This window comes from Homo sapiens, chromosome 5, assembly GCF_000001405.40.
Source record: "Homo sapiens chromosome 5, GRCh38.p14 Primary Assembly".
NCBI lineage: Eukaryota > Metazoa > Chordata > Mammalia > Primates > Hominidae > Homo > Homo sapiens.
Window position 1 is genome coordinate 134186062 of NC_000005.10, and position 13328 is coordinate 134199389.

At 42.4% G+C, this 13328-nt stretch overlaps 1 protein-coding gene across 3 annotated transcripts in view; it reads right to left on the minus strand.

Annotated features, from left to right (window-relative positions):
- Nucleotides 8271-13328, minus strand: part of PPP2CA (protein phosphatase 2 catalytic subunit alpha) — a 31742-nt gene continuing 26684 nt past the window's right edge. For all 3 annotated transcript variants that reach the window (NR_149151.2, NM_002715.4, NM_001355019.2), the window contains exons 6-7: nucleotides 13025-13143; nucleotides 8271-11783 (exon numbers count right to left, since the gene is read on the minus strand). Coding sequence is in view for 2 of the 3 variants with exons in the window: in NM_002715.4 (NP_002706.1) it covers nucleotides 11711-11783; nucleotides 13025-13143 (192 nt within the window). In the remaining variant the exon portion in view is untranslated. The remainder of the gene's footprint in view (nucleotides 11784-13024; nucleotides 13144-13328) is intronic.

Genomic DNA, 13328 nt, shown 5'->3' on the forward strand with positions numbered 1-13328 from the left:
AACTGCATGAATGGTGGTACTATTCATGGTGGTACTAAGATAGGAAACACCAGGATTTGGGGTGGAAGGTGTTTGGGAGATCAGGAATTGTTTGAGATGCACGTTAGACATCTGAGTCATGTCAAGTAGGCAGTTGAATACTTAACAGGAGTGCAGGGGAGAAGTTGGGCTAAGGATACAAACTGGGACTCTTCAGCATATAGACAGGGCTAGATGAGATCACCTGGAAGAGGAGAGAAAAAGTCGTGTGAGTACTAAGCCTTGGGTCATTTCCATATTTAGAGGATGGGAAGAACTGGCAAAGGAGTCTGGAAAGCAGCAGTCAAAAAGGCAGGAGGGGCTAGGCGCCGTGGCTCATGCCTACTTTGGGAGGCCGAGGCAGGAGGATCGCTTGAGCTCTAGAGTTCACGACCAGCCTGGGCAACATTGTGAGATCCAGTCTCTATAAAAAATTTAAAAATTAGCTGGGCATGGTCACACACGCCTATAGTCCCAGCTACTCTGGAGGCTGAAGTGGGAAGATCGCCCGAGTCTGGGAGGTTGAGGTTGCAGTGAGATAAAATCATGCCTCTACACTCCAGCCTGGAAGAATCCTTCTCAAAAAAAAAAAAAAAAAAAAAAGTAGGAGGAAAACAAGCAAATGTAGTGTAATGGTAGACAAGGAAAGAAACTATATCTGGGAAATTGTTTTGGTCAATCATTTCAAATGCTAAAAACAAAATTAAAGTCAGAAAAAACATCTACTATACTTGGCAATGGGAAAATCACCTTGATAAAGCTGTAATTTCAGTGGGGTGGTGTGTTGAGAAAAGTGTGATATGAGAAGGTGGACAGAGGACACAGTTCTTTCAAAGAGCTTTGCTAAGAGCAGTATAGAAAAAGGGCAGGCACTTAAAGGGACTGTGAAGTCAAAGGAGTCTGTTTTTAGGATTGAAGATACAGAGCCATGTTGTATGCTGATAGGAATAATCCAATTGAGGAGGCCAAGGATAGAGGTACAGCTGCAGAAAGATTGCTGGATGTTGGCTGGGAGGGGTGGCTCACACCTGTAATCCCAGCACTTTGGGAGATTGAGGCGGGCAGATCACCTGAGGTCAGGAGTTTGAGACCAGCCTGGCCAATATGGTGAAAACACGTCTCTACTAAAAATACAAAAAATTAGCCGGGCGTGGTGGCGCACGCCTGTAGTCCCAGCTATTCAGGAGGCTGAGGCAGGAGAATCACTCAAACCCAGGAGGCGGAGGTTGCAGTGAGCCAAGATCATGCCACTACACTCGAGCATGGCAACAAGTGTGAAACTCCGTCTCAAAAAAAAAAAAAGATTGCTGAATGTGATGGCAGGAAGAAGAGAGACACTATCGACTGTGCCCTGAAGTATTAATATTGGCGAGGTTATAAGTGTTATAGAGTACAGAGAGGAGGTGGCAATTTGAGAAGAGACCGTGTTAATCAGTCCTTTTGAAGCCCAAGAATCTAAGGAAGTGTAGAGGACTATCCAGCAGTAACTGGTCCATCTGACATTTGTGTGAGTCCCACCAGTACAGCTGTGTCCATTCCTCTAGCCACATCCTGCCACTCAGCTGTAGGCAGCAGGCTCTGGTCAGAACAGCACAGCCTGGACTACAGCAGTCTCTCAAACAGCAGCTTCCCCACCGCTGCCCCAGATGGCGGAAATTTCTAGGAATGTTATCAGGTCATGGTCAGTGCTTTTCTACAAACTACACTTCCGCATTCTCTTTCAAAACAAGTGATTTTTCACCTTGTGATAAACAGCATCTAATGCAGATTGGTGAGAAGGAATAGCTCCTTCTCATCCTTTAGGTCTCAGCTCAGTGTCACCTCCTCAGAGACCACCAGCCTAAATAGTACGTTAAATTTACATTAAAACTTATTTTAAAAATTTAACAGCCATCACATCAAGACATACGATTGCCATCAGCCAAAAAAATTGTCAAAATTCACAAACTTGAGTTGGGCAGTAAGCAATGTGCACAACAGTATGTGGAAGTTTTGGCTAGAAGGGTACCTCCTTTTACCCTCTGGCCTCCTGTCTTGCTTTTTCTTCATAGTACATTATTCCTATTGGAGTTTTATATTTGTCTCTCTTGGGTGTTCACTGCACAAGGGCACTTTGTCTTGTACACCGCTTGTGCCTAATGCCTGGCACATAACAGGTGCACAGTAAGTAGCTGCTGAATACCACTCAGCTCAGCTGGTGCCTGGTGGTGGCTTACTTACCCAGTGGAAGTTACTCAAATACCATGGCAACATCTCTTCTTGCCCACTTCACTTGCTGTGCTCTCCCAGATGGCAGCAGCCCCTTACTACATACACCCTGGCTAAGACCTAAGCCCTCTTGCTAGAACCTCTCACCCCTCAACACACACCCACCTTGCTTCACCCCTTTCTTCCTATTCTAATAAATTTAACCCTCTGTTCTCCTTCTTAGATCTTTGCCTTCCTGTCCTTTGCCTTGAGACTTAAGAAGCCTTGGAGTCCTCACAAACGAGAGCATGTAGCACAAACCTTGGAACCTTGGGAGCTGGGGGTCTCAGTTATAGACTTAATGCAAAGACTGGTTCCTGTGGATGCATGACTGCAAGCCAGGCAGCAGGTAGTCTTAGAGCTCAGGTCTGAGTAAATTCGCCCAGTTACCACTTCCCCACCCCCAAGATCCCAGCTGAGAGCCAAAGCAGAGCCTGGATTTTGTCTGGTTGATAAGGGTGGGAAAGGCACAGAACCCACATTGGGGGTGACCAACTGTTCTGGTTTCAAAGCTCTACTGGCTGGGGCAGTGGCTCACGCCTGTAATCCCAGCACTTTGGGAGGCATAGGCGGGTGGATCACCTGAGGTCAGGAGTTTGAGACCAGCCTGGCTAATATGGTGAAACCCCATTTCTTCTAAAAATACAAAAAATTAGCCAGGTGTGGTGGCGTACACTTGTAATCCCAGCTACTTGGGAGGCTGAGGCAGGAGAATCACTTGAACCTAGGAGGTAGAGGTTGCAGTGAGCCGAGATTGTGTCATTGCACTCCAGCTTGGGCAACAAGAATGAAACTCCATCTCAAAAAAAAAAAAAAAAAAAGAAGAAGAAGAAGAAGAAAGCAAGATCTGCTTCCTGGAAAACCTTCAAGTTCTAAGCAACCAGGTCAACTGGTCACCCTATATTGGAGCTGTGCCCAACCGTGGCCACACATTAACAAGCTGGTGAGTTTACTTAGTTTTGCCTCCATGTTTAACTACTTCAGGAACCCATCATACTTCCACCAACTCACTACTGTTACTTTAAAAATAAAAGCTCACACTGGTTAATACCAAAGATGCTAAATGAAAATATGCTATGTGCGGAATGGTGTCTGTTACCATTTGTTTTAAAAGGGCGAGGAGTATTGCTCCCAGAGAAACAATTTAATACACATCATCATGAAGGAAGACTAGAGCACAACCACCCTACACACAGCAGACTTGCTGATATGACTGTGAAAACATCCACAACCATTAGTAGTAACCACCTCAGACCAATAAGGCTGGAGGGGAAACTTTTTTTGTATTCATCTCTATTGCTTTACTACAAGCATGTATTTTATATTAATACGAGTAGAAAAGATCCATTTTTTAAAAAGAATGTGCACTCATACAGATTAGAGATGGGCATTGTTCATAGGGTCAAGTCCTCCGTATCAGAATTTGTTAACTGGCCATCAGGACACCAGACAAGAAAGTAAGTTGGTCTTGGCTTCTGGCTCCTCTCAGATTAGAAGGTAAGGGTCTTCAGAAGGAGGGGAAGATGGTCAGGTGATGACAGGCTAGCATGAGATTTCATTCATTACTACAACTGTCAGCCTAAAGAGCTGACTAGTTTCCAGTAGTCTTGTACAGAATCCCAGAAGTTTATAAAAGAGTCTAAAAAACTCAGGTCATTCAAGAAAACCCACAATTCAGTTGGGAATTCAGATAAAAAATGGAGGAATTATGCCACTTAGATGAATTTTTAAAAGTTAGGGATGGGGTGCTCCACTCCATATATACTTTCTGGTTTTCCTTTAGTATTTGTTAATGCGGGTCCACTGTGAAAATTCTTTTATCTTCAAGAGCAATTGTTAGGCTGTGGTGGTTCAGCTGAACCTCACCTAACTCCCCTTCAAACTCTGGCTCAAATAAATGCCCTTGAGACACAAAGGTTAGTCCATGAACTCTTTTTTTTTTTTTTTTTTTTGAGACGAGTCTCACTGTGTCACCCAGGCTGGAGTGCAGTGGTGCGATCTCAGCTCACTGCAACCTCCACCTCCCGGGTTCAAGCAATTCTCTGCCTCAGCCTCCCGAGTGGCTGGGATTACAGGTGCCCGCCACCACACCTGGCTAATTTTTTTTTTTTTTAATTTTTAGTAGAGGTGGGGTTTCACCATCTTGGCCAGGCTGGTCTTGAACTCCTGACCTTGTGATCCACCCGCCTCAGCCTCCCAAAGTGCTGGGATTACAGGCGTGAGCCACTGTGCCCGGCAGTCCATGAACTCTTGAGAATGCTGTAACCAGGCTACCTGACTTGGGCCAACACTCAAAAGGCCCAGCATGCAAGCCTTCCTCACCACACACTCCCCAAAGGGCCCATCACACACCTAGCTTCCTGAATGGGGCTAAGCGACACATCTAAACCCTAAAGCTGTGTAGGCTATTGCCCACCCTTCAAACACCACTAATAAGAATTTCAGCAAAGGCAAGAGAAACCTAATGCTTCCTGAAAATCAGGAACTCTGCGATCAGAATGCCTGAATAGCAGAACCTTCTCTGCTCTTCTCAACAGAGTTGAGAAAACTCAATAATTCATGTAACATGCTTGGCACATGGAAATGCTCAGTGCTAGACAATATTCACTATAAGCTAATTCTGTCATTTCAAAGATTGAACATTCAGTAGCTACTACTGTCCTAAGTCATTGTGAATTCAACTCAACCCTTCACAGCAATTATTTCAGCACTGAGTGCACTGGAAACCCAAGCTGGTTCAGGATATGTCAGCTATTGCCTTTTCAAGACTGCAACGTCAAATTGATGTATTTCAGAAGCCATGAATCACTTACTCTATACTCTTTTAACATACCAAATGCTGTAGGCCATCTGCCACTCAGGTAGATAGCAGAAATGTCCAACTGCTGCCAAAAGGTGGTTTAAGCAAATACATTTTGAAAATCCAAAAGATGTCTACTCATATTCCCAGCCCTACTTTAAAAATCCTGGCTTCTCATTTCTAGAGTATGGTTATTTTTCCTAGGATCTGTGGTGAAACTAGAAAAACCCAAAGACCAACAAAGCTATCACAATACCCTAAAGAAATCCAGAGCCAAGACTAAAATTAAGGGCAAAACCTGGTGCGGTGGCAACAGGCCAAGAGGCCATACCAGGTCGGACATCACCTGGATCCTTCCAGAGGCCATGAGAGCCATACTGCCATCCCAAAAATCTTGACTCATATTTAAATTGCCTACATCCCTTTACCCTACAACCAGTTTCAGTGCAGCTCTGAGGAGGAGCAGTGGGCTAAGCCTTGGGTTTGTCTTTGCATCCTAATTTTAGTCATAGATCAATGAAAAGATGAAACTTAAAATGGTAGTTTTATACATTTCAACCAAGGTAGAGATGAATGTGGTTTTGGAAAACAAAGGATGTTCAAGACCAAATACATTATACAGTTTCTCCTCCCGCTCCTCTGCCTGCTGCATGCAATACATACTCAAGACCTTCACTGCAAAGGGACTTACATTGCAAGTTGGACTCAACAGCAGGAGTACATTCTGCAGATTTTACATCTGGTATATTTCACCACACCATGTAACCTACTTTCTGATATGTTTGGATATACCTGACCTTAAAGCTCCCCTTTGACCAGGCCTGCCAAACCCAATTACTAGCTCTTGCTCCTATCCCCAGGTTCCAATGCCATACTCAGAGCAGTTCTAGAACTGCAAAAAGCCTAATGATTAGTCTCCTTGCAGATCAGAAGGTATGCTAAGCCTTGAGGTAGAGGCACTCAACAGCTTTGGGCATTTCTAATAGCTTTAATTAGACATTCCATTGTGGTCTTCCATAGTGTTCTATGGAGCAAGCACTCTTAACTTCCTATCACGATTCTGGCCTTTGACTTCCACCATCAGTAATCTTGCTTGCTGGTGGCTACAGCCTACCACTGCACTAAGGAAGAACAGCTAAATTATTTCTTGGAAGAAAGCTTTTAAAAATATATTTTTTCGAGACAAGAGTCTCGCAGTCTGGAGTGCAATGGCGCGATCTCAGCTCACTGCAACCTCTGCTTCCCGGTTTCAAGCGATTTAGTCTCACCCTCCCAACTAGCTGGTACTACAGGTAAGTGCCATCACACCCAGCTAGTTGTTTTTTTAGTGGAGACAGGATTTCACCATGTTGGCCAGGCTCATCTTCAACTCCAGGCTCAAGTGATCCACCCACCTCGGACTCCCAAAGTGATAGGATTACAGGCGGGAGCCACTGTGCCCAGCAGGAAGAACACATTAAAGTCCTTCCCACTAACAACACTGAATGGTTGAGAAGATTGTACACCATGGCTGAGGCTATCTCAAAATAGATTCCGAAGGGACCCAAGTAGTAAAATAAGAGCAGTGGTTTGCAGCATTAGCAGCATCGTACGCAGAGTAGACAAAATCCTGGCTACTTCTCACAAGCCTGTTGAGGATACAAACTAGTCATCCCTCAGTAATCTTGGGAGACTGGATCCAGGACACCTCCCTTGGATAGTCAAGTCTGGAAGTCAGTCCCCTTTACCAGTGGGTTCTGCATTCAAGAATACTGCATTTTTTGGCCAGGCGCGGTGGCTCATGCCTGTAATCCCAGCACTTTGGGAGGCTGAGGCAGGTGGATCGCCTGAGGTTGGGAGTTTCATACCACCCTGGCCAACATGGTGAAACCGTCTCTACTAAAAATACAAAATTAACTGGGCGTAGTGAGCCACGCCTGTAATCCCAGCTACTTGGGAAGCTGAGGCAGGAGACTTGCTTGAACTCGGGAGGCACAGGTTGCAGTGAGCCAAGATCGTGCCACTGCACCCCAACCCGGGTGACAGAGAGAGACTCCGTCTCAGGGGGAAAAAAAAAAGAACACTGCATTTTCAATCCCAGGTTGGTTGACTCCATTGACTCATTTGATGCAAACTCTGTGGATACTGATGGCTGGCTATACTTTAAATTATGGATTACTCATAATACCTAAACAATGAAATTGCTATGTATATAGTTATACTGTGTTTTTTTTTTTTAGACAGAGTCTTGCTCTGTTGCCCAGGCTGAAGTGCAGTGGCTCTATCTTGGCTCACTGCAACCTCCACCTCCCAGATTCAAGTGATTCTCCTGCCTCAGCCTCCTGAGTAGCTGGGATTACAGGCACACGCCACCATGCCCAGCTAATTCTTATAGTTTTAGTAGAGACGGGGTTTCACCATGTTGGCCAGGCTGGTCTTGAACTCCTGACCTCCGGTGATCCCCCCACCCCTGCCTCCGCCTCCTAAAGTGCCGGGATTATGGGCATGAGCCACTGCTCCTGGCCACTGTATTGGTTTTTATTGGTTCCTTTTCCCAAAAATATTTTCAGTCCATGGTTGGCTGAATTCTCAGATGTGGAACCCTTGACTATGGAGGGCCGACTGCACTTAATTAAATTCAACCTCAGACATGAGGGTTTGTGCTTTTCCTTAAAAAACAAAAAAGTGTGACTTTTTCCAGCATTCACTCATTAGCTATAATTATTTCCTCTTTCACTCTTGGGAATGAGGAATTCTGGTCCAGGCATGACAGCAAATACAAAACAAACTGGGGTCTGTTGCCTATATCACTTACTTGGTTACCACTGATCTTTGTATGTTCAACTTTTAAACAATTCAAACACAGTCCACATTTTTCTTTCCTCAAATTTATATACCAGCTGATAAAAATACATTTCAATCTATTTACAGGACAGCACTGCCTACAAGCCAACAATGCTGTGTTAGCAACATCCCATTTTTTTCTAGACAGTAGTACTTGTGCAATTAAATATATATAATAAAAAGTAGAAATAAAATGTACTTATATTCCTAAAACATAAAGCTTTAAATGTAATTGGAAAAAATATAGAAATCACCAGGCATGCCCAAAATAATACATCTACAACCTTCATAAGGCTATTTGCTAAAACAGATGTATACTTGTGAAGGGAAAAAAATCTAAATTAAAAAAGTTTATGAAGACTAGAAATATGTCAAAACAATGTGTGAGGACGAAGGCTTTAATGCAAAATAGCTTTAGCTCACAGAACCAAAATCCATCTGAAAACAAACAAGCCTATTACCAAACTATAGGTTACTAAACTATAGGCCCATTTCTAAGAACACATTTATGGTTGGAAGCAAAGGAATATTTATACTAAACAGGTAAAAGTCACCACTGAAACAGAGAGTCGCACGGTACATTTTAATTCCTTATCAACATCCATGAACCACCACCATGTATCCCAATTTTCTTAAGTATGTACTTAGGAAACAGCAGTGAGGTGTTTTTGTTTTTTGAGATGGAGTTTTGCTCTTTTTGCCCAGGCTGGAGTGCAATGGCACGATCTGGGCTCACTGTAACCTCCTCCTCCTGAGTTCAAGTGATTCTCCTGCCTCAGCCTCCCAAGTAGCTGGGATTACAGGCTCCTGCCACCACACCGGTCAGTTTTGTATTTTTAATAGAGATGGGGTTTCACCACGCTGGCCAGGCTGGTCTCGATCTCCTGACATCAGGTGATCCACCCACCCCGGCCTCCCCAAGTGCTGGGATTACAGGCATGAGCCACCGCGCCTGGCTGTTTTTAACCCTAGATGTAAATTAGAATCACTTGGGAAACTTAAAAAATGTATGCCTGGGCCCTCCTCCAGCAATTTAAATCAGAATCTCTGTAGGCATCAAAGCTGAGAACCACAGAAATAACTATCCTTTTCCTGAGCTAAGTCCTTCTTGAAACTAATCTAATATTGACAAACTTCTATTTAAGAAATACCGACTACAACCAACAAATGTTTAATATGCAGCAAATGAAAAAATCATGTCTAGGATACTCAACCCAAGACATGAGCACATCATGTACAAATTCATTGTAAACTTACAAAATAAGTTTCAAAATTTCTGCAAGCCCTCACTATACAAACTCAGAATCCTCTTTATTTTTGAGACAGGGTCTGGCTCTGTCACCCAGACTGGAGTACAGTGGCACAATCTCAGCCCACTGCAACCTCCATCTCCTGGGCTCAGGCGATCCTCTCACCTCAGCCTCCCAAGTAGCTGGGACTATGGTATGCCACCAAGCCCGGCTGATTTTCATATTTTTTGTAGAGATGGGGTTTTGCCATGTTGGCCAGGCTGCTCTTCAACTCCTGACCTCAAGGGATCCACCCACCCTGGTCTCCCAAAGTGCTGGGATTACAGGCATGAGCCACTGTGCCAGGCCTGTTCTTAGGGAAAGCTTTTTAGGTTTATTAATGAAAATCCTAATGTTACTAATTGAGACATCAGTTAACACCCAACTTAGTGATTCCCATCCAACCATAATTATGTATTTTTCAAGAAAATACATAATTTACTAACACATTTTCCTTACCATAGCCATTTTCAAAAGAAGGTAGGGTACTAACACTTTCCAGTTTAGATGGCCAAAGCCCGGTCAGTCTCTATAATTAAACAATTATTTTAAACCCTAGTTATGCTAAAACCAAGCTATTCTTATCACAAGTCCCATTCTGCTAACCACAAAATTTAGAGAATTTGTACCTGGAAGATACCACCACGTGTCAATTACAATATACGTATTCCTTGGTCAATTCTGATATCACAGGACCGGAAAAAATAGCTGCTTGGTGTCTAGATTGTTTGGGTATTAAAACCACTGCACATGGATAAGCTATTTGTTCAGTCGGAGAGAAAGGGCATAGAGTGACAGAGCAACAAAAAGACACACAGAGAATGTATTTCTTGTGAAAGAAAAGAATGAAATGAAATGAAATGTAGAAACCCTAATGGCCTTTTGCTTTGGAAAATTAACTCCACAAGCCACTAAAAATACTATCAATTAGATCAGAAAAGACATTCGGTATGTATGTGTTCCTCAAGCATTTTAGAAAGGGGATATGCTATAACTTCCCTGTTGGTTCCAGATTCAACACAGCACAAAGCAAGAAAACTTTTATTTACTACACTCACAAGTATGATTAAGTGTTCCTGTTTACTCTGGTAGGTTAAAATATCAAATATTAGTTCCCACAGAAGAACTTTTTTTTAAACATCTAATCCTATTCGAAGGATAAAAGGGGAAAAACTCATTAAATGTTGAACACTGCCACTTTAAGTACCATTTTTGTCTTCGGGTGAATGTACATAAGACTAAATCATGATCCAACAATAGTTTTCTATTTGGTTTCACTAGTATCACTCAAAGAACTTGACACAGGCTAATGCTTTAACACTTTCTTATCTGAGACAAATTTAACTCTAAGAACATATGACTCAACAATGTACAAAGATTTAAGAATTTGCCAATCTGTCAATCATTTTAAAGAGTCCATATAATATACACATAGCAATATAATATTCATAACCAGAAACTGCACTAAGTAAACACATCATTTAGTTTAAGCTCTACCTGAAAACATGCTGTTTTATTAAAACAAAACCCAAAGACTTAAATCTCAAGTTATATGGTTTTACAATTAAGTCTTACTGAAGCAGCACAGATTTCCTTTCTTACAAACAAGTTAATATGCAGGAAGAACCCACAAAGTGCACACCAACAATGTGACAAATTGTAATATGTGAAATACAAATAAATCCTGAAGTTAATCTGAAGAATGTCAAGGAGTTACCAGAGAGGTTATGTAGTGCCCTTGATTTTTATTTTACCTACAAGTCTACAAATTCTAAAATTTACTCAATTGATTTAACTTTTTTAATAAACAGCACCAGTCTTGCCCATTGATACAATTAAAATTTGACCTTCTCAGTTCTTAGTTCACAAGTTTATTATGAAAAACACTGCAGTGCTCTTGTGCAGTCACATCGTCTTACAGGAAGGGGAAAAAACAGTTCTGTTCAAAACAACTCACCAGGTTCTGACAATAACAAAGAACAACATGGGGCTGAGATTTGAGTAGGGAATAAACTGAGTGCAGACAAATCATATAATTAAATTAAACGGTATCCCTGAAAATAAAAAGAACAATTTCAAAACTCACAAGTAGAAGGGAGGCCTTGGTAATTATTTTTAAAAATGTTCATTAAGCTCCAATGATTGTTTGCTGCTATCCTTATCTACAGTCATGCTGAGTAAAGCTATAGCTAAATGGAAGTTAAATTGTATTCACGAGGTGTTAATGTTTACATCTTATTATCTGCAGTCTCTCAGAGAAAGCAAAAGTAACTACAAATAGCGCTATGCCAGAAACTGGTTTCTTGACCAACAATGTCGCTTCAGCATGCAATGAACTGGTTCATTCTAAAGTGGTCACGGCTGTTGATGACAAGAGGCTTTGTATTTTTATATGGCACATCTTTTGGTCCATGTGAAAACAAGTTTTTTGAATGTTAACTATTTTCTGACACTTTGGAGTTACTGTTGCTCTTCCCATTTCCATTAGGTCGATATATGGTTCATGGCAATACTGTACAAGTTTAAAATTTCATTACAGGAAGTAGTCTGGGGTACGACGAGTAACATGTGGCTCGCCTCTACGAGGTGCTGGGTCAAACTGCAAGCTGAAAAACAAGACCGATTCATGGTTTATGTTCCACGACCTCCATGTAGTGACAATCAAGATCAAGAACATGAGTCTTCCAAACTTTACACTTCCTATTCAATTTTGGCTTGTCTTAATGTAACAGAACCTTAATGATAATGGTCTGTTAACTGTACTCCCCTTGAAAGAGTCAAGGCAACTTCAGCCACAGAGACTATGCTTTTATAAAAACATGGTTTTTACCTTGACTGAAATTTCAAACAAAACAAAACAAAACATGGTTGGCCGGGCGCAGTGGCTCACGCCTGTAATCCCAGCACTTTGGGAGGCTGAGGCGGGCGGATCACGAGGTCAGGAGATCAAGACCATCCTGGCTACCACGGTGAAACCCCATATCTACTAAAAAAATACAAAAAAATTAGCCGGGCGTGGTGGCAGACGCCTGTAATCCCAGCTACTCGGGAGGCTGAGGCAGGAGAATGGTGTGAACCCGGGAGGCAGAGCTTGCAGTCAGCCAAGATCGCACCACTGCACTCCAGCCTGGGTGACAGAGTGAGACTCCGTCTCAAAAAACAAACAAACAACAAAAAAACACAAAACATGGTTTTAAAAGTGAAAAACCTAGTAATTCATACGAAGATCTATATATAATAAGTTCCTGTTGGTGTGTTTCAATGTAGATCCATTAAAAAAAAAACAAAACTTAAAAATAAAAGTTGGAATCTGACATAGCATAATCCCTTAATAAACACTTTTTTGAGACGAAGTCTCGCTCTGTTGCCCAGGCTGGAACGCAGTGGCGCGATCTTGGCTCACTGCAACCTCTGCCTCCCGGATTCATGCCATTCTCCTGCCTCAGCCTCCTGAGTAGCTGGGATTACAGGCAGGCGCCACCATGCTGGGCTAATTTTTGTATTTTTAGTAGAGAAGGGGTTTCACCATGTTGGTCAGGCTTGTCTCGAACTCCTGATCTCAGGTGATCCACCCGAGCCTTCCAAAGTACTGGGATTACAGGCATGAGCCACCGCGCCTGGCCCCCTTAAACTCTTAAACCTCACATTTAAACTATGTATTCAGGCTGGGCACTGTATCTTATACTTGTAACCCCAACACTCTAGGAGGCCAAGGTGAAAGGATCACTTCAGCCTAGGAGTTCGAGACAAGACTGGGCAATATAGTGACACCCTCTCTCTCAAAATAAATAAACCAAAACCCTACATATTCAGTAATGCAAGAAAATGTTCAGGTAGAATTACTTACAAAGAGTATTTTAGAGTATCGTCAAGTTCCATGATTGCAGCTTGGTTACCACAACGATAACAATAGTTTGGAGCACTGAAAATCGTTACTACATTCCGGTCATGGCACCAGTTATATCCCTGCAAGGAAAAGGAGACAAAAATCTTACTTTACTCCCTCAATTCAACTAAATGTTACTTCACTCAAGAGAGAAAAAAATCTCTACTCATTCCCACCCCTGCCAAAGGGGCTTAAGAAATGTTAATGCTTTTTTTCTGGATGACTTAATAATCTCCTGTACTTTATACAACCTGTAAGGTACACA